The sequence below is a fragment of the Homo sapiens genome, chromosome 18 (assembly GCF_000001405.40).
Source record: "Homo sapiens chromosome 18, GRCh38.p14 Primary Assembly".
Taxonomy (NCBI): Eukaryota; Metazoa; Chordata; class Mammalia; order Primates; family Hominidae; genus Homo; species Homo sapiens.
In genome coordinates this window covers 748,775-774,961 of record NC_000018.10, presented here as the reverse complement: position 1 = coordinate 774,961, position 26,187 = coordinate 748,775, and the positions used below count along the sequence as shown (strand labels likewise).

The window sequence follows — 26,187 nt, the reverse complement described above, 5'->3', positions numbered from 1 at the left end:
TTGGTCTGTTTGAAGGAGAGCAGGAAGGCCAGTGTAGCAGAAGTGAGGCAAGTTGGGGCACAGTAGTAGGAGTTGAAGGCTGCATAATAGGTTATTGGATCTTGAAGGCCATAGTAGGAACTTTGGCTTTGACTTTAAGTGCAATTGGAAGTCTTTGGGTGGATTATGGCAGAGGAGTGATGTTAAACTACTGCTGTGAGACATGCCTGTAAAAGGTGCAATGGCAGGAACTGGGAGACCAGTTAGGCTATTAGAATAATTCAGTATTGTTGAATTAGTGAAAGGTGATGTGACCTAGACCAGGGTAGCAGTGGGAGGTGGAGAGAAGTTGTCAGATACTGAATGTATTTTGAGAATAGGGCCGGGGGGTTACTGAGGAGTTTAAGGGTGTGAAATAGGTAATAAGGGTGACTTCAGAGTTTGGGCCTGAAAAACTAGAAGAATGGCGTTAACATTTATCGAGTTGGGGAAGATTGCAGGAGGAGCTGCTTTGGGGAGGAAGATTAGGTTTCTTGGAAATGTTAAATTTGAAATCCTTTTAGACGTCCAAGTGAAGGTATTGCGTAGACAGTTAAAAGTGAGTTGGAGTGAGAAGTCCAGAAGTCCGTAAAGATACAAACCTGGTAATCATCAATTTGCAGGTGGTATTTAAAGATATAAGACTGGGTGATATCACCAAAGGAATGAATGTAAATGGAGAAGTCTTTTCGGCAACAGTCCAGTGTGTAGATGTCAGGGAGATGAGGAACAGTTAGCAAAGGAGACTGAGAAGGAGCAGCCAGTAAGACGGGGGGAAACCAAGAGGGTAATGTCTTACAAAGCAGATGGGAAGGCCAGGCGCCGTGGCTTAAGCCCGTAATCCCAGCACTTTGGGAGGCCAAGGCGGGTGGATCACAAGGTCAGGAGTTTGAGACCAGCCTGGCCAAGATGGTGAAACCCCGTCTCTACTGAAAAATACAAAAATTAGCCGGGCAAGATGGTGGGCGCATGTAATTCCAGCTACTCGGGAGGCTGAGGCAGGAGAATTGCTCAAACCCAGGAGGTGGAGGTTGCAGTGAGCCGAGATCACACCACTGCACTCTAGCCTGGGCGACAGAGCAAGATTCCGTCTCAAAAAAAAAAAGGGAAAAGTGTTTTAAGGAAGAGAGAGAGAGAACCTCAGTTTTTTTCTTATTTTTTTCTTTTATTAGTCAGCATTGGATCAGATTGTATTTTAAGTGAATGCGAGAAACATAGGAAAGTTGGAACAAAGTTTGCTAAAAGAAGTGGGTTATGTGGAAAGAAAAGAAGCAGGAAAGTTATTATACAATGGACAGGATTATGAAAGTCTAGAGGTTTTAAAAGAGAAGAGAATGCCTGACCATCTTAAATACCTGGTAGCATTTCTTGGTGTCTGTCTTTCCTCACTGTCTTACCAGCCTTTTAATTCGTACAGGATTTTGAATCGAAACATGACTGTCATGGTTCAAGTTTTTGAATACACTGATTTACCTTCTTTTAGGGGGTGACAAGACAACCATATAAGAAATAGGAAAGGGGCTGTTTTACTTCTCTGCTCCTGAGAACTTGCCCCATCAGCAAAGCCCTTTTGGTTCCACTCTGCCTTCTCTTGCCCGTTATCCAGGAAGATGAAAGTAGTTCAGGTATGAGGAGGGAACAAAGTAAAGCTGTCTGTACTGACCTGACTCCTCCCTCTGGTAATGGCAGGTGACTTAGTAGAGCTGGATCAGCATTAAACATTAATCTTCCAGATTTTTGACTTCATCTCTATTAAAGAAAAATCTAATGTGGAAATTTGTTTCAATTTGAAAAGTTATTACTTTCAGTGCATTTTGCTAAAATGTGTATTTCTACTAGCTATTAAAGCAAGATCAATCTAGGAGACCTTATGTTAAGAAGAGATTGTGCTAAAGAGGCCAGTCATCATAGTACCTTCTAGTCCACAGCCTCTTAAGGAAACCATAGGACCAGCCTATAGCCAAACCATAACTGGTCAGCAGGTTAGTGCAGTTAGATAGCAGTTTATATTATTTTGCTTTTACTCTTGGCCATGCAAATGCAAACTCAGAAACAGGCAATTAAAGTGCTGTGGAAGATAGAGGGAACCTGGAGCAGACCACAAATGAATAAAAATTATGAGTAAGTAGAAATTATGAGGTAGAGAATAGGTATGTCAGTAGAGAGTAAAGTAGTTAGCCAGAAACATCAGAAATACAGAAATAGAGATGCTGGCCGGGCGTGGTGCCTCATACTTGTAATCCCAGCACTTTGAGAGGCCGAGGCAGGTGGATCACCTGAGGTCAGGAGTTTGAGACCAGCCTGACCAACATGGTGAAACTCTGTCTCTACTAAAAATACAAAATTAGCTGGGCATGGTGGCGTGTGCCTGTAATCCCAGCTACTCAGGAGGCTGAGGCAGGAGAATTGCTTGAACCCAGGAGGCGGAGGTTGCAGTGAGCCGAGATCGCACCATTGCACTCTAGCCTGGGTGACAAGAGTGAGACTCTATCTCAAAAAAAAAGAAAAAAGAAATAGAGATGCTTAATCCACATTATGGTAGGGAAGCGATAAGTTCTGGAAAACAAAGCAATGTTTACCTAGTATCAAGACCTGCATTCAAACTTGAACATGCAGGCCGGGTGCGGTGGCTCATGCCTGTAATCCCAGCACTTTGGGAGGCCGAAGTGGGAGGATCACTTGAGGTTGGGAGTTTGAGACCAGCCTGACCAACATGGAGAAACGCTGTCTGTACTGAAAATACAAAATTAGCTGGATGTGGTGGGTGCATGCCTATAATCCCAGCTATTTGGGAGGCTGAGGCAGGAGCATCACTTGAACCCAGGAGGCAGAGGTTGCCGTGAGCCGAGATCGTGGCATTGCACTCCAGCCTGGGCAACAAGAGTGAAATTCCATGTCAAAAAAAAAACTTGAACATGCTTTTGTGGTGTACGATCAGACTGTCTTGTAATTTCTGATTTTTATGTGAAATTCTTGCCTCTTCCTTATTAACATTTTTATCTTTACAATAAAATCCCTTCTTCAGTCCAAAAGAGCCCAACGTTAAGCTGAGTATAAATGTTTAGACTTACCAAGCAGATACATAAGGAAATACTTTTTAACATTTTTTCTTCCAGGCCAGGTGTGGTAGCTCACACCTGTAATCCCAGGGAAGGCCGAAGTGTGGGGATCCCTGTGCCCAGCCTGGGCAACATGACAAAGCCCTATCTCTACAAAAATGTACAAAAATTAGCCAGGCATCATGGCCTGCACCTGTGGTCCCAGCTACTAGAGAGGCTGAGGTGGGAGGATAGTTTGAGACCGGGAGGTCTAGGCTTCAGTGAGTCGTGATCGCGCCACTGCACTCCAGCCTGTGTGACAAAGTGAAACCCCATCACAAAAAAGTTTTCTTTCTTGAAATGTAAAAGAAAAATGCCACGGAGTGGTTTAACAGATTACAATAAAACACTTAAAATGTTAATTTATTTGAAGGTGATTTTTAAGGAATAAATATTTTATCTGTTATAATAAAAAGTTAAACACAAGTTCATTTAAGAAATAATACCCTCTGCACTCAAATGAATTTTTTTTTTTTTTGAGACAAAGTTTTGCTCTTATTCCCCAGGCTGTAGTGTAGTGGTGCAATCTTGGCTCACTGCAACCTCCGCCTCCTAGGTTCAAATGAGTCTCATGCCTCAGCTTCCCAGGTAGCTGGGATTACAGGCATGCACCACCATGCCCAGCTTATTTTTGTATTTTTAGTAGAGACGAGGTTTCGCCATGTTGGTCAGGCTGGTCTTGAACTCCTGAGACCTCAAGTGATCTGCCTGCCTGGGCCTCCCAAAGTGCTGGAATTACAGGCATGAGCCACCATGCCCAGCCATCACTTGAATGATTATTAACACCGGGGAATGAAATGTTTTTCTAGGTTTTAACTTTTCAGATTTTTTTTTTTTTTTGAGATGGGATATCTCTTCATTGCCCAGAGCAGAGTGCGGTGGTACCTACTGTCACTGCCTAACAGTCACTGCCCTCAAGCTGTTCTCCCACCTCAGCCTTCCAAAGTGTTGGGATTAAAGGCATGAGCCACCACTCTGGCAACTTTTCAGAATTTTCAAGTGACCATGATGGAGTTTACCATCTGTCAACCCCCACACCTCCACAAACACACAAAAACCTTGAAAATCTGGACAAAATAATGAAACAATGGGTTTTAGACTTTGGACAACAGCAGTGCAGGACTGTGATCCCTAAAAGAAGGGAAACAAACAAAGTGAGCTTTACAGGCACCCACCCACCCTGGCTTTTTGCCTGGGGCACATTCTAAATTGTAGATCTGGGACAGGGAATCTTGAGCAAAGAACAAGATGAAGAGATAGAGATCAGAATTTATGGAAGCTGAGGCAGCAAGAAGTTGTAGGGCAAAGTTCAGCAGGAAGGACACTTTGTCAAAATTAATGCTATCCATAGAAGTCTCTGACTTTTTGCTGAATTCTAGAATGAACATACATGGAGTAAAACTGTAAAGCCAGACAAAGAGCAACCAGATTGATGTGAACTGACAGACATCAGAGGTCACAGAGGGCTGGGAAGCATTTGAGGTTTTACTAGCTAGAGGGGAAAGTCCTTGTTGATCACTCACATTGAAGGACGAAATAATACCAATCTTAAAAACTCTTAAAAAAAAAAAAAAAAAGATAAAAGGGCCGGGCGCAGTGGCTCACAGCACCTGTAATCCCAGCACTTTGGGAGGCCGAGGCAGGCAGATCACGACGTCAGGAGATCAAGACAATCCTGGCTAACATGGTGAAACCCTGTCTCTACTAAAAATACAAAAATTAACTGGGTGTGGTGGCGCGTGCCTGTACTGCCAGCTACTTGGGAGGCTGAGGCAGGAGAATCCCTTGAACCCAGGAGGCAGAGATTGCAGTTGCAGTGAGCCGGGATCACGCCACTGCACTCCCAGTCTGGGCGATAGAGCAAGACTCCGTCTCAAAAAAAAAAAAAGAACAGGAAGAGAATACTTCCCAATTCATTTTGTGAGGCCAACATCCTGATACCAAAAGCAAACACAGAAATTACAGGAAAATACTACTAAAGAACAATGTGGTTCTTGACCATAGACAAAAATATTTAGCAAAATATTAGCTTTCAGGAATATATAAAAGGGTAATATACCATGACCAATTGGGTTTTATCTCAAGAATGCAAAGGTCCCAAGGTTTACTTAACAGTCAATAATCAATTAGTAAAATTCACTACATCAATTGAATAAAGGAAAAAAACCTATATGATAATCTAAGTACATGTAGAAAAGCTTTTGACAAAATTCACTCATTTATGATAAAAACTGTCAGCAAACAAGGGAACTTTGCTTGGCCTTATGAAGTTCTGCTATAATACAAAAATCCTACAGCTAATATCATACATAATAGTGATGGACTAAATACTTTCCTCTTAAGATTGAGAACCAAGGCATAGATATTCTCTCCTCACTTGTGTTCGACATTGCACTGGAGGTACTAGTCAGTGAATAAGGTAAGCAGGGAAAAAGACGTATGTAGGAGAGTAAAGAGCAAGACAGTGTTTATTTGTACACATGATCTTGAGTGTAGAAAATACTGTAGAACCTATAAAAGTACTAGAAATCATAAGAGTTTAGTACAGTCACAAGAACGTAATATACAAATATACTTTGTATACAGATTTACTTACGGTCGCACGTCACTTTAAAGACAGGAATATGTTCTGACATTGTGTCATCAGGCGATTTCATCATTGTGTGAACATCATGCAGTGTGCTTACATAAACCTAGATGGTACAGCCTATTATACCTATATACCTATATACCTAGGCTATATGGTATAGCCTATGGCTCCTAGGCTACAAACATGTCACTATACTGAATGCTGTAGGCAGTTGTAACACAATGGTAAGTATTTGTGTATCTAAACATATCTAGGGCCAGGCACAGTGGCTCATGCCTGTATCCCAGCACTTCGGGAGGCTGAGGCAGGTGGATCACTGGAGGTCAGGAGTTCAAGACCAGCCCAGCCAACATGGGGAAACCCTGTCTCTACTAAAAATACAAAAATTAGCCAGGCGTGGTGGCAGATGCCTGTAATCCGAGCTACTCGGGAGGCTGAGGCACGAGAATCTCTTGAACCTGGGAAGCGGAGGTTGCAGTGAGCCGAGATCACACCACTGCACTCCAGGCTGGGTGACAGAGCAAGACCCTGTCTCAAAAATAAATAAATAAATAAATAAATAACATATCTAAACATAGAAAAGGTATGGTAAAAATACAGTATTATAATCTTACGGGACCACCGTCATATATGTGGTCCCTCCTTGACCAAAATGTTACGCTGCACATGATGGTATATGTTAGTGATGAAGAGTTGGAAATAGAAATAAAGTAGTAACATTTATAATGGCATAAACCATAGTGTCTAGAGATAAGCTGTACAAAAATTGGACAAGACCTGTACACTGAAAACTATAAAACACTGCTGGGAAAAGTCTGTAAATGCCCAAATAAATAAAATACCACATTCATGGATCAAGCGGAAGTCAGTATTCTTAAAATATCATTTCTCCCCAGATTGATCTATAGATTAAGAATAATCCCAGTCAGAATCCCAGCAGGCATTTTTGTGGAGATTCTAAAATTTGTATGATTAAAATTTGTAGAGATTTTAAAATTTGTATGGAAATGCAAAGACCCTCATGCATGGTTTGGCAGGTCTTAGCAAGCCAACTGCCTGCTTTTGGAAATGGTTTTTTAACATTGCCACACTTAGTGTGTTGTGCGTATTGTCTGAGCCTGCTTTTGCAGTAAACCAGCAGAGTTGAGTAGTTGTTACAGACACCATATGGTCCACAAAGCTTAAAATATTTTACAGAATAAATTTGCTGACCCTGCCCTAGAGTATTTAAAGCAATTTTGAAAAAGATGAAAAAGGCTGGGCACAGTGGCTCATGCCTGTAATTCCATCACTTTGGGAGGCCGAGGCGGTTGGATCACTTGAGGTCAGGAGTTTGAGACCAGCCTGGCCAACATGGTGAAACCCCATCTCTACTAAAAATACAAAAATTAGCCAGTTGTTGTGGTGCACGTCTGTAATCCCAGCTACTTGGGAAGCTGAGGCAGGAGAATCACTTGAACCCAGGAGATGGAGGTTGCAGTGAACCGAGATCGTGCCCCTGTACTCCAGCCTAGGCACAGAGCGAGACTCTGACTCAAAAAATAAATAAAAATGAAAAAACTGGAGGCTTTATATTATATAATTTCAAGACACAGTAAAGCTACAGTAATGACGACTATCGTCATTGACATGAGAATAGATATGTAGGACAATGGGAAAAATAGGGAATGAAAGCAGACCTACACACATACATGGTTAATTGCTTTTTGACAAAGGTAACAAGGTAATTCAGTGGGAAATGGATAGGTTTTTCAACAAATTGTACTAGGAGAACTAGATATCGAGTTTTAAAAAATTGAACATGGGGCCGGGCATTGTGGCTTATGTCTGTAATCCCATCACTTTGGGAGGCTGAGGCAGGCGAATTGCTTGAGCTCACGAGTTCCAGAACAGCCTGGACAACATAGTGAAACTCTGTCCTTACAAAAAAATACAAAAATGAGCCAGGCGTGGTGGTGCTCGCCTATAGTCCCAGCTGCTCAGAAGGCTGAGATAAGAGGATGTCTTGAGCCTGGAAGGGGAAGGTTTCAGTGACCCATTATCATGTCACTGTACTCCAGCCAGAGTAGCCAGACCTTGTCTCAAAAAAAATTTTTTTTGAATGTAAGACTATTATAATATATTCAAAAATTAGCTTAAAATGGCTTGATAGGCCTGACTTACAGAAGAGTTCAGACTTACAGAAGAGTTCAGACTTACAGATGAACATGTAGAAAATCTTCTGGTGAAGAATTTTCCGGACACATAAAACATAAACCATAAAAATAAAAAATTTTAATTGAACTTAAAATTTAAAAGCATGTTCAAGGATACTGTTATGGAAATGCAAAGGCAACCTATGAACTGGGAGAAATATCACAGTTTAGTATAAACATCTGACAGAGAACTAGATTCCAGAATATATAAAGAATATAATAGTGTTAGAGTAGTAAATATTCTTGTTTCCAGAACATAACAGAAAGAAGACAGCCCAATTAAAAATTTGATTTGAACAGACACTTTAGTTTAAAAACTGATTTGAACAGTCACGTCACCAAAGTAGAGATGGGAAGCAAATAAGCACATGAGAACATGCTCAAAATAAGGTGTAGTCATTAGGGAAATGTAAAAACCACAAAGGGATATCACTACATACCAATTAGAATGAGAAATTAGAATGTTTTGATTCTAGAATGAAGTTGATGATTATCTTTTCTATGTTTTTGTATTTATGGAAGTATTCCTAACTCTAATGGTTGCTTCCTATTAGAGTTGGGAATACTTCCATAAATACGAAAACATAGAAAAGATAATCATCTTTCACTAATCATGTAGTGCTATCCCTTTGCGGTTTTAACTTACATTTAATTAGCAGTTTTTAAAAGTGTTAATAACAAGTCTTAAGGATGTGGAGCAAGTCATTTGATCTAGGCATCATCGATGATAACATCTATGGAAAGAAAATAGAATATTTCTGTCTTGTATTCCTCTTTACAAGTGGGGAAAACTTCCTGGAAGCCCATGCTCATGGCTCAACTAGCCAACTGGCAATAGAGATAAGACCGTGTAAGTGGCTTAAATAAATCAATATTTACTACGTAGGGCTGGATAGGCACTGAGCCTCCCCTGAAGGACTTGGCAAACGTAAGAAGGATCAACAAAATCACAGTTCTTTTTATCAAAGAAGAGGAAGAATGGCTGTTGACTAACCAAGTGGCAACTGTATTTGATTACACTAATACTGTGAAGTAGAGGATCAGTGAAGTAGACAAAGAAATGATAGGAAACATCTTGATAATGCATGTGTTCCCAACTTATGAAGATATTCCAAAGATTACCTCATTTCATGGCTCACTTATTATTCTTCAACTTACTGCAATCTCGCTTTTGTCTTCATGATGTTAAGAAATGCTCTTGGTAAAGTCACCAGTGAGCTCCAAATTACTAATCAGCTGGCCTTTAAAAAAATCATTTTAAGTGCCACTTGACTTGATTTTGTCTTTAACACTATTAGCCATTTTCTTCCTGAAAGTCTGTTTATTCCCACTTATTTTACTCCTTATTAAAAAGTGTTAAATTGGCCGGGTGCGGTGGCTCACGCCTGTAATCCCAGCACTTTGAGAGGCCAGGGTGGGTGGGTCACAAGGTCAGGCGTTCGAGACCAGACTGGCCAATAAGGTGAAACCGTGTCTCTACTAAAAATACAAAAAATTAGCTGGGTGTGGTGGTACACGCCTGTAATCCCAGCTACTGGGGAGGGTGAGGCAGGAGAATCGCTTGAACCGGGGAGCGGGAGGTTGCACTGAGCCAAGATCACGCCACTACACTCCAGCCTGGGCGACAGAGCGAGACTCCGTCTCAAAAAAAAAAAAAAAAAGTGTTAAATTATAAAATACTTCAAACAAAAATAATTTATCCACATTTAACACACTAACATTTTCTCTGTTTGCTTCATGTTTCATATAATGAAAAAATTGCTACAGATATATATATATATATATATATATATATATATATATATATATATAGTTGTAACTCTTTCCCAAACCTGTCCAGTGTCTTGAAGTTGATGATTATCTTTTCGTATCTATGGAGGTATTCCCAACTCTAATGGTTGCTTCCTAATTTCTCTCCCTGTCTTATGCTTGTATGTAGGTGTCCTCCAACATTGTGTTAATTCTTTTGATTTCCTCTAAAGCTGTACATTATTTGAGAGTTCTGTTATCTTTAAAAGATTCAGATAAGCCGGGCGAGGTGGCTCACGCCTGTAATCTCAGCCCTTTGGGAGGCTAAGGCGGACGGATCACAAGGTCAGGAGTTTGAGACTAGTCTGGCCAACATAGTGAAACCCGGTCTCTACTAAAAATACACAAAAAATTAGCCGGGTGTGGTGGTGTGCACCTGTAATCCCAGCTACTCGGGAGGCTGAGGCAGGAGAATCGCATGAACCCAGGAGGCGGAGGTTACAGTGAGTCGAGATCGCGCCACTGCACTCCAGCCTGGGTGACAGAACGAGACTCCGTCTCAAAAAAAAGAGAGAAAAAAGAAAGATTCAGATAAATTATGAAACTATTTTTGTTTAATCTATCTCTGGCTTCCATCTTTTTCTGAGCTTTAAACATATTATTAATCCCCCACCAGACTTCACAGCATGAACCTAAAACGAACCATCTGAAACTGGTCCAAAAAATCTTTTCCTCTGTCCTCTACCTTAATTATGGTGTTACTCTCCACTTGGTTAAAACTAGAAACTTTGGCCAGGCACGGTGGCTCACGCCTGTAATCCCAGCACTTTGGGAGGCCAAGGCAGGTGGATCACTTGAGGTCAGGAGTTCGAGACCAGCCTGACAAACATGGTGATACTCTGTCTCTACTAAAAATACAAAATTAGCCGGGCATGGTGGCACATGCCTATAATCCCAGCTACTTGGGAGGCTGAGTCAGGAGAATCACTTGAATCCAGGAGGCAGAGGTTGTAGTGTGCCGGGATTGTACCATTGTGCTCTAGCCTAGGCAACAAGAGTGAGACTCAGTCTCAAAAAAAATAAAAAACTGGAAACTTTGGAGTCAGCCAACCCTTAATACACGTATAGTAAGTACTTTAAAAGGTTCAATAAATACTGAAGAATGAATGACTTTTTCTTTTTTTTTTTTTTTGAGAGGGAGTCTCGCTCTGTCGCCCAGGCTGGAGTGCAGTGGTGTGATCTCGGCTCACTGCAAGCTCCGCCTCCCGGGTTCATGCCATTCTCCTGCCTCAGCCTCCCGAGTAGCTGGGACTACAGTGCCCGCCACCACACCCCGCTGATTTTTTCTATTTTTTGTAGAAACGGGTTTTCGCCCTGTTAGCCAGGATGGTCTCGATCTCCTGACCTCATGATCTGCCCGCCTCGGCCTCCCAAAGTGCTGGGATTACAGATGTGAGCCACTGCGCCTGGCCTCGACTTTTTCTTAATGTCTCCTCTTTCCATATTTAACTGACAACCTTGATTATTATACTTATACACTTCTCATTTCCCCCATTATCACTGGCCCCACACTGTTCCAGCTCGTCTTTTTTTTTTTTTTTTTTTTTTGAAGACAGGATCTCCTCTGTCATCCAGGATGGAGTGCAGTGGCACGATCACAGCTCACTGCAGCCTTGACCTCCCTGGGCTCAGGTGATCTTCCCACCTCAACCTCCCAAGTAGCTAGAACTATAGGGATGTGCCACCACACACCACAACTGGGTAATTTTTTGTATTTTTTGTAGAGACGGGGTTCTGCCATGACGCCCAGGCTGCTCTCAAATTTCTAGGCTCAAGCAATCTTTCCACCTCAGCTTCCCAAAATGCTGAGATTACAGACATGAGCCGCCACACCTGGCTGCTTTTGCCTTTTCTCACATGGGTCAGTTGGAATAGTTTTATAACTTGTCTAACTGCTGTCATTTTTTCTTCTTTCTAGGCTGTATAATTCATCCTTTTGTCATAGTTATTATAAAACACATATCTTCTGCTATTCCTCAAAACAAAAATTCTGGATTCCTAATGCTCCCTGGAGAAAGTCTAAAAGTTATTGCATAACAAATAATCTTCTATATTAAATCTCCTCTAGCTGCCTGTCCTACCCAGCTCACAAACAGCCCCTCACACTCTTGGAACAGAGAAATTTTCTGTTCCTAAAATGAACCATGCTGTTTCAAGCATCTGAGCCATTCTGTACACTTTTCATTCTTCCTGGAATATCCTTTTCTTTCCCCCAAGTCTCCAACTCTTCAAGACCAAGCTCAGATACCACTTCCTTTGCAAAACTTTTTTTCCTAAGTGCTTTAAGCAGAGCTGATAACATTTGTTGTATTTCCATGGTATTTTGTACATACCTCCACTCTAACATTTTGTCACACTCTAGCATTTTTCACATTGTACAGTGTTGTATTTGTTTCATACATTTGTGACCTTTTAATGAAAAGGGACCATTTATTGTCCTCCCAGCTCCTTTTACAGTGTCTAATATACAATATTTTTAGTTTTTGGTTTTATTTTGATAGCTTTTGAGGTACAAGTGGTGTTCGGTTAAATGGATGAATTATGTAGTGGTGAATTCTGAGGTTTTGGTGCACCCGTCACCGGAGTAGTGTACGTTGTACCCAGTATATAGTTTTTTTTAATCCCATAATGTATGTTATTAATGAATATATAAGTCAGTAGCTTGGAACTTGGAAGAGACTTTTCCATATAAATGTTTTATTTTTTTATTTTGGGGGATTTTTCTTGTTTGGTTTATTGTTTGTTTTTTCTTTCCATCTTTTATTTTAGATTCAAGGGGTGCACGTGCAGGTTTGTTACATGGGTAAATTGTGTGTTGTGGGGTTTGGCCTACAGATAAATTTTGTTACCCAGGTAATCAGTGTAATATCCAACAGGTAGGTTTCCATATAAATGTTTTAAATGATGTTACATTTCTTTTTTCTTTTTTTTGAGATGGAGTTTCGCTCTTGTTGCCCAGGCTGGAGTGCAATGACGCAATCTCGGCTCACCGCAGCCTCTGCCTCCTGGGTTCAAGCGATTCTCCTGCCTCAGCCTCCTGAGTAGCTGAGATTACAGGCATGGGCCACCACGCCCAGCTAATTTTGTATTTTTAGTAGAGACAGGGTTTCTCCACATTGGTCAGGCTGGTCTCAAACTCCCAATCTCAGGTGATCCGCCCACCCTGGCCTCCCAAAGTGCTGGGATTACAGGCATGCACCACCACGCCCAGCTAATTTTGTATTTTTAGTAGAGACAGGGTTTCTCCACATTGGTCAGGCTGGTCTCAAACTCCCGACCTCAGGTGATCCTCCCATCTTGGCCTCCCAAAGTTCTGGGATTACAGGCATGAGCCACGATGCCCAGCCATGATGTTAACGTTTCTAAGACAACCCATAAAAATCAGTTTAACTCATATTGCACCTGAAATTTACTTAAAAATGTGAATCACGTATGACATTAGTAATATTTCAAAATGAGATGAGCAGCAATGATGGGTCCTATGCATTGATACTGGGGTGCTGGTGGAATTGGACTGAAATTAATGGGCTATCCTAGAGTTATTGGAAAGATAAGTGCGTAGATGTGTGAGGCATTAGGCTCAATACTCTGGATTAAGAAAATGAGGCTGGAGGACAGGTTAAGCATAGTAATGGAAGACTTGATAGGGTGAGGAGAAAAGGTGTGACTTTTGAGGGAAGAGGACTTTAAGATGGTTATGGGTAAAGGAGGTGAGGATGAGGAATTAAGCTGGGAATGGAAACTGAGGTAGTTGGGCAATTATAGGAGCCTCTGTTGTGAATTGACATGGTATTTCCGAGTTGGCCTCCTATCAGAATTTAAATTACAGTATTACTGGGTTTCCCCCATAATTTTTCCTCCTTCATACAACTGCTGTTCTTTCAAAGTATAATTTATGTAATAATTAATGCTGTTTTCTTGATATTTAGACTTTGGATGCAGGTAATTTTGTAAATTCCTTGTACCGACTTTTAAGATTTTTACAGTTAAACTTTTTTTTTTTTTTTTTAAACGGCAAAGAACAGTGCTTGGCCCTGACAGAAAGTGGGGTGGGGAACAGTAGACCTTTCCCCCTCCCAGTTTTTACATATTTTGTGGATATATATTGATTGTTACAATTTTGCCTTCAGGCTTAAGTATATTGAGTCAAAATCTTCCAGTCTGGTAACCACAAAAGGTATCTTCTTATAATGTGCATTTCTTGGAAGACTGGGAAGGTTGGATGCATTTTCATATGTTAATTGGCCTTTCCTGTGTTGTGAATTGTCTCTTGATAGGTTTTCATGTTTTTCTGTTGGACTTTTTCTTTTCATGCATAAGAGTTGTCTGTATTAAGAGTGTCAACCAGATTCCACATGTGTACATTTATTATATATTGAGAGAACAAGAAAGCATGAGCAAGTACAAAGATATTTTAGCTTCTCTTAAACTTCTGTCCCCACCCCTGCCCCTCTCAATGTGGAAGTTACTTTATACTTTAAAAGACTTTTCCAACTTTAGATTATGAAACTACTTACCTTTAATTTTTTCTAATACTTTTAGAAGCAACTGCCTTTTATATATTTAGCTTATAATTCCTTTACAATATTTTCACTTTAGTCATCCCTCAAGATCCATGGGAAATTGTAGAGCCTTCTAGAACCTCCTGTGGATACCAAAATCCCCAGATGCTCAAGTCCATGATATAAAATGGCATGTATTTGTATATAACCTGTGCACAAATCCCCCATATGCGGTTTTTTGGGGTTTTTGTTGTTGTTGTTGTTGTTTGTTTGTTTTTTTTAGACAGAATCTCACTCTTTCACCCAGGCTGGAGTGCAGTGGCATAATCTTGACTTACTGCAACCTCCGCCTCCCAGATTCAAGCGATTCTTCTGCCTCAGCCTCCCGAGTAGCGGGGACTACAGGTGCGCACCACCACACGTGGCTAACTTTTGTATTTTTAGTAGAGGCAGGGTTTCACCATGTTGGCCAGGCTGGTCTCAAACTCCTGACCTCAGGTGATCCACCCGCCTTGTCCCTGCAAAGTGCTGGGATGACAGGTGTGAGCCACTGTGCCCAGTCCCCCTGTATGCTTTAAATTGTCTCCAGATTGCACTATTCACAATAACAAAGACTTGGAACCAACCCAGATGTCCCTCAGTGATAGACTGGATTAAGAAAATGTGGCACATATACACCATGGAATACTATGCAGCCATAAAAAAGGATGAGTTCACGTCCTTTGTAGGGACATGGATGAAGCTGGAAGGCATCATTCTGAGCAAACTATCACAAGGACAGAAAACCAAACACTGCATGTTCTCACTCATAGGTGGGAATTGAACAATGAGAACACTTGGACACAGGAAGGGGAACATCATACACCGGGGCTTGTCGTGGGGTGGGGGGAGGGGGGAAGGATAGCATTAGGAGATATACCTAATGTAAATGACGAGTTAATGGGTGCAGCACACCAACATGGCACATGTATACATATGTAACCTGCACGTTGTGCACATGTACCCTACAACCTTAGAGTATAATAATAATAAAAGAAAAAAAGAAATAAATAAATTGTCTCCAGATTACTTATAATACCTAATACAGTGTAAATAGTTATTGTACTATGTTGTTTAGGGAATAATGACAAGGAAAAAAAGTCTGTACGTTATTTAGTACAGACACAATTTTTTTCTGAAACTTTTGAATCTTGGCTGAATCCATGGATGCAGAACTCATAGATACAAAAGACCGTATATTAAGTTTCCAGATCCGGTTATGGGTTTTTGTTGTTTGTTTTTTGAGACGGAGTTTCGTTCTTGTCGCCCAGGCTGGAGTGCAATGGCACAATCTTGGCTCACTGCAACCTCCGCCTCCTGGGTTCAAGCAATTCTCCTGCGCCAGCCTCCCAAGTAGCTGGAATTACAGGCGCCCGCCACCTCGCCCAGCTAATTTTTGTATTTTTAATAGAGACGGAGTTTCACCATGTTGGCCAGGCTGGTCTCAAACTTCTGACCTCAGGCTGTCCACCCATTTTGGCCTCCCAAAGTGTTGGGATTACAGGCGTGAGCCACCGCGCCTAGCCCCGGTTATATTTTGATGCTTATAGTTAACTCACATCTTTAGAATATACCAATTTAAGAGAGTGATCTAAAACCCAATTCTGAGGTTCTGAGACTGCTTCTATTTTAATATATGTAGCTACATTTTAAATTATTATTATACAGCTGAGGTTGTAAATGTTTAGTCTTTCAGAATTTATGAGGCGGCCAACACTCACCTACTTCCTTTTGAATGTCATAGAAAGGGAAAAACTATACAAATAAGAATGACCTTTGAAAGTTAAGTGAATTAATGAATTCTATATTAGTGCTTCTGTAGACAGTGAATAGAATAATGCAGATTTTGTAATGTTAGTAAACCTATATGATAGATAATACGGTAGGTAAGCGATGAGTAAAGCACAACTCTTGTTTTGAAGGAGTGTATTGCCATTAATTTGGGGGTAGGTTGGGATTTGACCAGTAAATTAAAAATGGTATATAAAATGGAATAAAGTGAGCCTCATAAGAAAATCTCCCCAAAGGTATATTGTGGGTTTTAAGAGAAAAGATATTTTACTGATTATAAGGAAAGCCTGAATGGAAAAGTAACATTTGTGATGACCATCAGTGAAAGGATAGGATTTTAGCAGGTAGAGAGGTGGGGAGAATACTTGGAACAGAGACAATTTTAGAAGGGGGAAAAAGAAACCCAAAATGGGAAAGCACAGGGCATATGCACTGGGGAAACAAGATTTGTGTGTGTGTGAGCGTAAGTATGAGGACAGTAGGAAATAAAGTTGGAAAGGTTGGAAAGATAGATTGGGGTTAAATTTGGTGAGCGTTAGGGGTGTTTCCATTGACAGGGAAGGGAAAAGGTATAGATCTACTTTGTCCTGTATGATAGCCACTAGCCATATACAACTCTTGAGCCCTTGAAATGTCTCTAGTCCAGTTGAGATGTACTTCAAGTACAAAATACACATCAGATTTTTAAGGCTCAGTATGAAAAAATAAAATGTCATTAAAATGTTTATATCGGTTACATGTTGAAATAAATGTTTTTTATATACTGGGTTAAATAAAATACTAAAGTTAATTTTACCTGTTTCTTTGTATTTTTTTAATATGGCTACACTAAATTAGAAAATTTAAAATTATGTGGCTCACATTTGTGACTTAGATTATATTTCTGTTGACATAGTCCTGGTATAGACAGAATACAACAGTATTTGCTAGTACCCATTGTGTGCCAGATTGTCTAGAATTTGTAATAAAGTTAATCCTCATAGTAAACCTTATGAGGTAGGTTTTTCTCTTTTTTTTCTATTTTGTTTTCTTTCTTTTTCTTTTTTTTTTAACAGATAATTTTATCACCCAGATGCTTTTTTATTTTTTATTTTTTTTGAGACAGAGTCTTACTCTGTCACCCAGGCTGGAGTGCACTGGCACGATGTCAGCTTACTGCAACCTCTTCCTCCTGGGTTCAAGTGATTCTCATGCCTCAGCCTCCCTAGTAGCTGGGATTACAGGTGTGCACCACCACGCCCAGCTAATTTTTGTATTTTTATCAGAGACAAGAGTTTCACTGTGTTGGCCAGGTTGGTCTTGAACTCCTGACCTCAAGTGATCGGTCCGCCTAGGCATCCCAAAGTGCTACAATTACAGGTGTGAGCCACTGCGCCTGGCCCCCCAGATACTTTTTCTTTCTTTTTTTTTTTTTTTTGAGACGGAGTCTCGCTCTGTCGCCCAGGCTGGAGTGCAGTGGCGCGATCTCTGCTCACTGCAAGCTCCGCCTCCCGGGTTCACGCCATTCTCCTGCCTCAGCCTCCCGAGTAGCTGGGACTACAGGCGCCCACCACCACGCCCGGCTAATTTTTTGCATTTTTAGTAGAGGCGGGGTTTCACCGTGTTAGCCAGGATGGTCTCAATCTCCTGACCTCGTGATCCGCCCGCCTTGGCCTCCCAAAGTGCTGGGATTACAGGCGTGAGCCACTGCGCCCAGCGATACTTTTTCAAGTAACTGGAGTGCATAGAGGTTAAGCAACATACCCTGAAATCACTCCACTACTAAGTAGGAAGCCAGGATTCAAATTTAGGCCTCTCTGGCTTCAGAGCCCATGGTTTTTTCCCAATATACTGTGGCATGTTGTCATTGGACTATTAAAGGTGATTGAGTTGGAGAATGAAGCGATTGGAGTAGGGCTTTTGCAAATTGTAATAAAGATAAATGAGGGGAAGAGACCTCGTTTTCAGCTTTCTATTTTTTGTTTTGTTTATGTTCCTTTTTGCAGGGATGGCATATGCTTTTCTTAAAATGATTTTTTGAACCCTGTCTTTTTGAAGTATCCTGTGTGTTAACTGACTCTCAAAATATTTTATTGTCTCTGTAGATTTGATAATGGGCTGCATTAAAAGTAAAGAAAACAAAAGTCCAGCCATTAAATACAGACCTGAAAATACTCCAGAGCCTGTCAGTACAAGTGTGAGCCATTATGGAGCAGAACCCACTACAGTGTCACCATGTCCGTCATCTTCAGCAAAGGGAACAGCAGTTAATTTCAGCAGTCTTTCCATGACACCATTTGGAGGATCCTCAGGGGTAACGCCTTTTGGAGGTGCATCTTCCTCATTTTCAGTGGTGCCAAGTTCATATCCTGCTGGTTTAACAGGTGAGATTTAAATGGACAATTATGTTGTCTGTTTGAGAACATCACCTTGGGTAATATATACTTAAGGCTTGTCTGCCTTTAAGAAAGATATCTTACTTGAGGACTTTTCAAATAATTGTATGTGAAAATCAGTCTCTAACATAAAAATTAGTTTTATTGTATACATGGGTATGGTTCTGGAAAATTGGTAGTAACCTGATGGTGATTATGTACTGGATCATGTCATTAATTATTTTATTAACTCATTATTCAAATAGTTATTGAGCCCCCCCCCACTGTAGGCACCGGGAACATAAAGATTAAAAACATATACCTTTCCCTCAAGAATTTGACAACTTCTCAGGATTGTAAAGTACTTTGCAGTATTAAAGTCTTATAGTGGTTACTTAATAGATGTTAATTAAATGACAGTAGAGTAGCGATAATACAGAATTTCTCCCAGATGCTGCTGATTTAAAAAAGAAAAATCCTAAAGCTCAGACAGTTTAAAATTTTCCCCCAAGTCACAGATAGTAAGTAGGAGAGCTCAGATTTATTGTCCTATTCCAGAACTCCAATTATTACATTATTATATCCTTTTAGAGAATAGCAAGAAGTGATTGTTGACAACCTTTCGTGGAGACAGAAGGCTCTTAAAAAAATAGATTCAAACAATTTTAAAAGAGAGAAAATGAGCTCTTTTGTAAAGGGTCCCGTATCAGGATGCTTTTTCACTGAAGTAACAAAGTATAGCTGGCTTAAAAAGGTAGAGTGAGTTTCAGGATTCCTTGATAGAGCAGTTCCATGGTGTCATCAAGGACTCAGATTTCTTTATCTCTATTCTGCAGCCCTTGGGAGTGTCTGCTTTATCCTTAGGCTTGGCAAAACAGCTGCCAGCATCAAATCAAGCAATATATGTCCTCATTAACAGCCAGTGGGTGCAAAAGATAAATCCCCACTACAAGCATAGACTGACTATACATTTGTCTCTTCAGTCTGTTCCAACTGGACCAAAAACAATAGCCAGGCCAGGCGCAGTGGCTCACACCTGTAATCCTAGCATTTTGGGAGGCTGAGGCAGGCAGATTGCCTGAGCTCAGGAGTTTGAGACCAGCCTGGGCAACATGGCAAAACACTGTCTCAACTAAAAATACAAAAAAAATTAGCCAGGTGTGGTGTTGCGCACCTGTAGTCCCAGCTACTCGGGAGGCTGAGGCACGAGTAGTGCTTGAACCCAGGAGGCAGAGATTGCAGTGAGCCAAGATTGCGCCACTGCATTCCAGCCTAGGTGACAGAGCGAGACTCTGTCTCCAAAAAAAAAAAAAAGGCAATGGCCAGAGGACTGCCATACACTGATTCTGTTAGACTTCATTTAGGGAGTTATGCATGTTAAGTCAATTACAGTCTTAATTCCAGCCCCCTAATTCTGAATACTTCAGTAGTAGATGGCCATGAGGGCATTTCTAAGTCTTTAGCAAAAGTTTACTTTTAGAGTTATGTTTGGGAAAGATAGTAATCTAAAATGGTTGAATATTGATACTTAAAGACACACTTTAGTTACCTAAAGCAATTTACTTATATGAAATATTCTATTAGGGGTATTCATTTATTAACTCAGTGTACACTCAGTGTCTGTGTATCAGGTATGGAGAGGTGAGCAAGACAAAGTTTCTGTTCTGATGGAGCTTACATTATAGAGGGTTGGACAATAATTAATGAATAAACAGCTAAACAGGATGGATGATTAATGATCCTTAAATGCTATGAAGGAACTAACTAGAATGATGGTGAAGGCCCTGCAGTTAATCAGGGAAAGCTATCTCAAGAAGAAATCATTTGAGCTGAGATTTTTTTTTTTTTTTTTTGGAGTTGGAGTCTCTCTCTGTCACCCAGGCTGGAGTGCAGTGGCGCAGTCTTGGCTCACTGCAACCTTCTGCCTCCCAGGTTCAAGCCATTCTCTTGCCTTAGCCTCCCGAGTAGCTGAGATAACAAGAAACAAACACCACGGCACCCGGCTAATTTTTTTTGTACTTTAGTAGAGACGGGGTTTCACCACGTTGGCCAGGCTGGTCTTAAACTCCTGATTTAGGGGATGTGCCTGCCTTGGCCTCCCAAAGTGCTGGGATTACATGCGTGAGCCACCGCACCCAGCCTTGAGCTGATATTTGATAAGTGAGAATGACCCACCTATGTGCAATCCTGGGAAAGAGCTTTCTAGAGAGAGGAAATAACAAATGCAACATTTAGGAGATACAGAGAGACTTGGAAGTTTTGAGTATTAGTGTGGAGACTAGTATAAACAGAGGGGAGAATTGTATTATATGGGATTGAAGAGTTAGGAGACCACGATTACTCAGGACCCCACAGACTCTGGTAGCGAGTTTAGGTTTTATTCAAAGCTAGGAAGAAACTGCTGAAGAGATTAAGTAAAGGATTTGATTGAATTTTCTTTTGAGAAAAACTGACTCTGACATCTGTGTGGGGAATGGATGGTAGAGAAGCAGTATAGAAGCAGATGAGACTGGCACTCTCAGTAGTCCACCCAGTCCCTGTGAGAAATGACAAGGACTTGGGTTAGGGTAGCAGCAGTGGAAATGGAAAGTAAATAGTATTTTAGAGGTAAAACTGATAGCACTAGTAATGGACTCGGCTTGAGTACCTGATTAGATGGTAGGGCCATTTACTTAGATAGGAAAGACTTGGGTATGTAAATATAGGTTAGAGGAGAAAAATCAAGAGCTTTGTTTTGTAATAAATTTTAAATGCTTATTAGACATTCAAGTAAAGATGTCAGCCGGGCAGGGTGGCTCACACCTTTAATTCTAGCACTTTGGGAGGCCGACTCAGGTAGATCACTTGAGGTCAGGAGTTTGAGACCAGCCTGGCCAACATGGTGAAACCCCATCTCTACAAAAAATACAAAAATTAGCTGGGCGTGGAGGTGCACGCCTGTAATCCCAGCTACTCAGGACGCTGAGGCAGGAGAATAGCTTGAACCCAGGAGGTGAGGTTGTGGTGAGCCCAGATCGTACCACTGCACTCTAGCCTGGGCAACAGAGCAAGACTCCGTCTCAAAAAAGAAAAAATTTTTTTTTGATCTGACAAGTCAGTGGGATTATGTTGAGTAGAGTATATACATATTCAAATTAAAAATATGTTGGCTAAAGGATACAAAATTTAGATAGGAGGAGTAAGTTCAAGAGATCTATTGTAGAACACAGTTAATAACAATATATTGTATTCTTGAAAATTACTAACAAAATTTTAAGTGTTCTCACCACAAAAATGATATGTGATGCAATGCATACGTTAATTAGCTCTACTTAGCCATTCCACAATGTATATATATTTCAAAGCATCATGTTGTATGCAATAAATATATACAGTTTTTTAAAAGAATATTAATATATTATGGAGTTTTTAACCTGAATACCTGCCTTGAATAATTTTAACACTGAGATGTCATGCATATTGTATACATCTGTTTTATTATTTGTTTTGTTTGCAAATAATAGTTTGGCTGTTCAGTATGCTAATCTCTTTAAGCATCTGCACATAATGCTAAATATGACAGTTTTTGAATTTATACTTTATAATTCATATCATCCATACCATTTTATTTTATTTATTTTTTTGATACAGAGTCTTGCTGTGTCACCCAGGCTACAGTGCAGTGGCATAATCTCGGCTCATGGCAACCTCCACTTCCGGGTTTCAAGCGATTCTCCTGTCTCAACCTCCCAAGTAGCTGAGATTACAGGCATGCGCCACCATGCCTGGCTAATTTTTGTATTTTTAGTACAGACAGGGTTTCGCCCTGTTGACCAGGCTGGTCTCGAACTCCTGGCCTCAAGTGATTTGCCCACCTCGGCCTCCCAAAGTGCTGAGATTACAGACGTGAACCACTGTGACCGTCTGATACCATTTAAGACAAAACATGACATTTTTATCTTTAAGTGTTAAATATGTAATAATTTTGCTAAAACTAGTAAATTAGTTATTACTGGTAATGATTAGATGCAATTGTTCATTCATTATTTATATGAAGAACACTGCCCCACTAGTTTGTAGTAGTCATCAATCCTTTTTCTGTCAAATAATTGATTTGAAATTTGACTGCATTTCCAAGCCTGAGATGTTGCTACAGTGAGTCAAAATTAAATTTGTTGGCTGGGCACAGTGGCTCACGTCTGTAATCCCAGCACTTTGGGAGGTCAAGGCAGGCGAATCACTTGGGGCCAGGAGTTCAAAACCAACCTGGCTAACCCAGTGAAACCCTGTCTCTACTAAAAATACAAAAAAATTAACTAGGTGTGGCGGCACATGCCTGTAATCCCAGCTACTTGGGAAGCTGAGGCATGAGAATCACTTGAACCTAGGAGGCAGAGGTTACAGCAAGCCAAAATCACACCACTGCACTCCAGCCTGGGTGACAGAGTGAGACTTTGTCTCAAAAAGAAACAAAATTAAATTTGTTTCTCCAAGTCTACAGAGTTTTATAATTTGTAGAATACAGTAGTTTTATGGAAGGTCTTCGGAGAGTTTAAGACTAGTTATTGCTACCAGTTATTGAGTTATTGTCCCAGAACATAAAATATGGTCATGTCTCTCTACTTTAAAATTCTTCAGTAGTTCCAACTTCTAAAAATAGTTTCTGGAGACTACAGAAAAAACTATCCTTAAGCTTTTTTTTTTTTGGCTGGCAATAGTTCTTTTTTTCTGTTTTGTTAAGTTAGCTACATAATTTACCTTGGTCTTTTTTCCCTCTGATAGGTGGTGTTACTATATTTGTGGCCTTATATGATTATGAAGCTAGAACTACAGAAGACCTTTCATTTAAGAAGGGTGAAAGATTTCAAATAATTAACAATACGTAAGTGTCATGAATATTTTGTGAGAGAAATACTGACAGAAATCTGGTCTTTACACAGGAACCACTGAGCTGGTTGATGATCCAGAGATGAGAGAGGTAGGGCATGGGCTGCCCACTGTGTTTAACGATGCATTGGCTTCTATAGATGCATGTTGCAACACTGCTGCTGTAGCCAGAAGTTATTACTTCTACAATTTGTGCTGCTGTGGTTCTGCCATAAACAGTAGAGATTTAAGAATGAAGAGTTACTGAGGGGAGTACATGCAAGTGTATTATTTTTTTAAAAAACTTTATAAAGAGAGTTTGATGCTCCTATTTTTCTAAGTACCAGATGGTGTAAAGATCTTGTCTCATTCTATTAAAAAAAAAGGAGGGGGAGAAAGTTGGGTAAGGAACCCATCTACTTTCCAATTGATGAAATTAAGTTGTGTTTTTCCTTTTGTGACAGACTTTTTGTCTAGAGGTACACTGTAGAAAATTTGATGCTCGTTGTAGAAAGTAGATCGAATAATTTCATTAGCAAGCATAATGACCACTTTGTAACTTCTCAAAATATATATTTATGGTCTGCTTCCAGTCGTATTTTCTTCCATCCATGTTCCCATCTGCTACCAGTTATTGTTCCGGAACATAAAATATGGTCATATCCTTCTACTTTTAAAATATTCAGTACCTACCACTTGCCATCAAGATAAAAGGAAAACGACAATGATAACAACAATCATTCATTGAGAATTTACTATGTGCTTCTCCCCTCTTCTAACTCTAATACCCAGACATACTGAATTACTTGCAATTTTCTGAGTACGCTGGAGTTTCTTATACTCTCATGCTTTCACACATACTGTTTCTTTTTTCTGGAATGTGATTTCTCATCTTTCCATTTCTTTCCTTTATTTAGCTAATCCTACTCACCCTTCAAAATATAGTTAATATGTCCTTTCTCAAGATGCCTTTCCTTAACATTCTTCCTCCCCTGCCTGGCCCAGTCCTTATCCCCTGCTGGATTAAGTATCTCTCTTAGGTGTTTACATAGCACCCTATGCAAACCTCAATCATAGCTGTCATCACATTTTGAATTACAATTTGTCACTTGCTTGTTATTCTTTTAGACCAATGGTTCTCAACCTGGGACAGAATCACCCAGGGGATATTTGGCAGTATCTGGAGACATTTTTGGTTGTCACAGTTGGGGTGCTGCCGCTGTCTTCTAGTGAGTAGTGGCCAGGGATATTGGTAAATATCTTAAAACGCACACAGCAGCCTCCCACAACAAAGAATGATCAAGTCCAAGGTGTCAATAGTGCTGAAGTTGGAAAACCCAGCTCTAGACTGTGAATTCCTTGAAGTCAAGGACTGTCTTTTTACTTTTATTTCCAGCACACTCTAAAGTCTGTCACTTAATAGGTATTCAGTAAATGTTAGAGTGAATCAATGAATGCTTAGCAGGATCAAATACAAGGTTTTTGGTTTGTGTATCTGAAAGTGCTTAGTATATATGAGGAACCACAAACCAAGTGTATGAGTTTCTAAATATTTGAATTATTAAGGGATTTTTCATTCATTTTCTAGAGAGCAAATTTATCTAGGCATTTATAACATTTTAATTTAGACAGTGCCTTTTCAGTTTTTATCTTTGGTGAAGCAAAACATGAATTTAATCTTTAGTAACAAATCCCATATCTATCTTCCTATTTAAAGACTAATTGTATTTGGTCTTTTCACATTAATTTTGAAAAAATGACGGCTTATGTGTTATAAACCACATGTAGTTCTCATGTTCTGAATTATCATTTAATTTTGGTCTTACTGGAATATTTCTAGATAACTTTTTTTTTTTTTTTTTGAGACGGAGTCTTGCTCTGTCGCCAGGCTGGAGTGCAGTGGCGCAATCTCGGCTCACTGCAAGCTCTGCCCCCTGGGTTCATGCCATTCTCCTGCCTAAGCCTCCCGAGTAGCTGGGACTACAGGCGCCCGCCACCACGTCTGGCTAATTTTTTTTGTTTTTTTTTTAGTAGAGACGGGGTTTCACCGTGTTAGCCAGGATGGTCTCGATCTCCTGACCTTGTGATCCGCCTGCCTCGGTCTCCCAAAGTGCTGGGATTACAGGCGTGAGCCACCGCGCCCAGCCTTCTAGATAACATTTTTATAAGTATGCATTATTCTAGAAATTCAGGGGGTTTTTTTGTTTTGCTTTTGTTTTTTTGAGATGGAGTTTTGCTCTTGTCACCCAGGCTGGAGTGCAATGGCATGATCTTGGCTGACTGCAAACTCTGCCTCCCAGGTTCAAGCGATTCTCCTGCCTCAGTCTCCTGAGTAACTGGGATTACAGGCACACGCCACCACTCCCACCTAATTTTTGTATTTTTAGTAGGGACAGGGTTTCATTCACCATGTTGGCCAGGCTGGTCACGAACTCCTGACCTCAGGTAATCTGCCCACCCCGGCCTCCCAAAGTACTGGGATTGCAGGCGTAAGCCACCGCGCCCGGCCAGAAATGCAGTTTTTTTGGGTTTTTGTTTTGTTTTGTTTCTTTGTTTTTTTTAGATGGAGTCTCGCTCTGTAGCCCAGGCTGGAGTCCAGTGGCATGATCTCGGCTCACTGCAACCTCCACCTCCCAGGTTCAAGCGATTCTACTGACTTAGCCTCCCAAGTAGCTGGGACTACAGGTGCATGCCGCTGCATCTAGCTAATTTTTGTGTTTTTAGTAGAGACCAGGTTTCACCATGTTGACCAGACTGGTCTTGAACTCTGGACCTCAGGTGATCTGCCTGCCTCAGCCTCCCAAAGTGCTGGGATTACAGGCTTGAGCCACTACGCCTGGCCCAGAAATTCAGTTTTTAACTTTGTTGCTCATTGTTAATTGTCTGGCTACAGGAATGTTAGAGCATTGTGATTTTTTTTTTTATCTAAAATGAGTAAAAAAGAGT

General features: G+C 40.6%; 1 protein-coding gene across 10 annotated transcripts in view; it reads left to right on the top strand.

Annotated features, from left to right (window-relative positions):
- Window positions 1-26,187, top strand: part of YES1 (YES proto-oncogene 1, Src family tyrosine kinase) — a 91,166-nt gene that overhangs the window by 37,792 nt on the left and 27,187 nt on the right. For 9 of the 10 annotated variants that reach the window (XM_047437770.1, XM_024451244.2, XM_047437771.1 and 6 more), the window contains exons 2-3: window positions 18,127-18,405; window positions 23,158-23,257. In XM_047437770.1, coding sequence (XP_047293726.1) covers window positions 18,135-18,405; window positions 23,158-23,257 — 371 coding nt within the window. In that variant the 5' untranslated portion in view covers window positions 18,127-18,134. Of the gene's footprint in view, window positions 1-13,321; window positions 13,329-18,126; window positions 18,406-23,157; window positions 23,258-26,187 lie in introns of those variants that run through there. The other variant, XM_024451245.2, reaches the window with a different exon arrangement.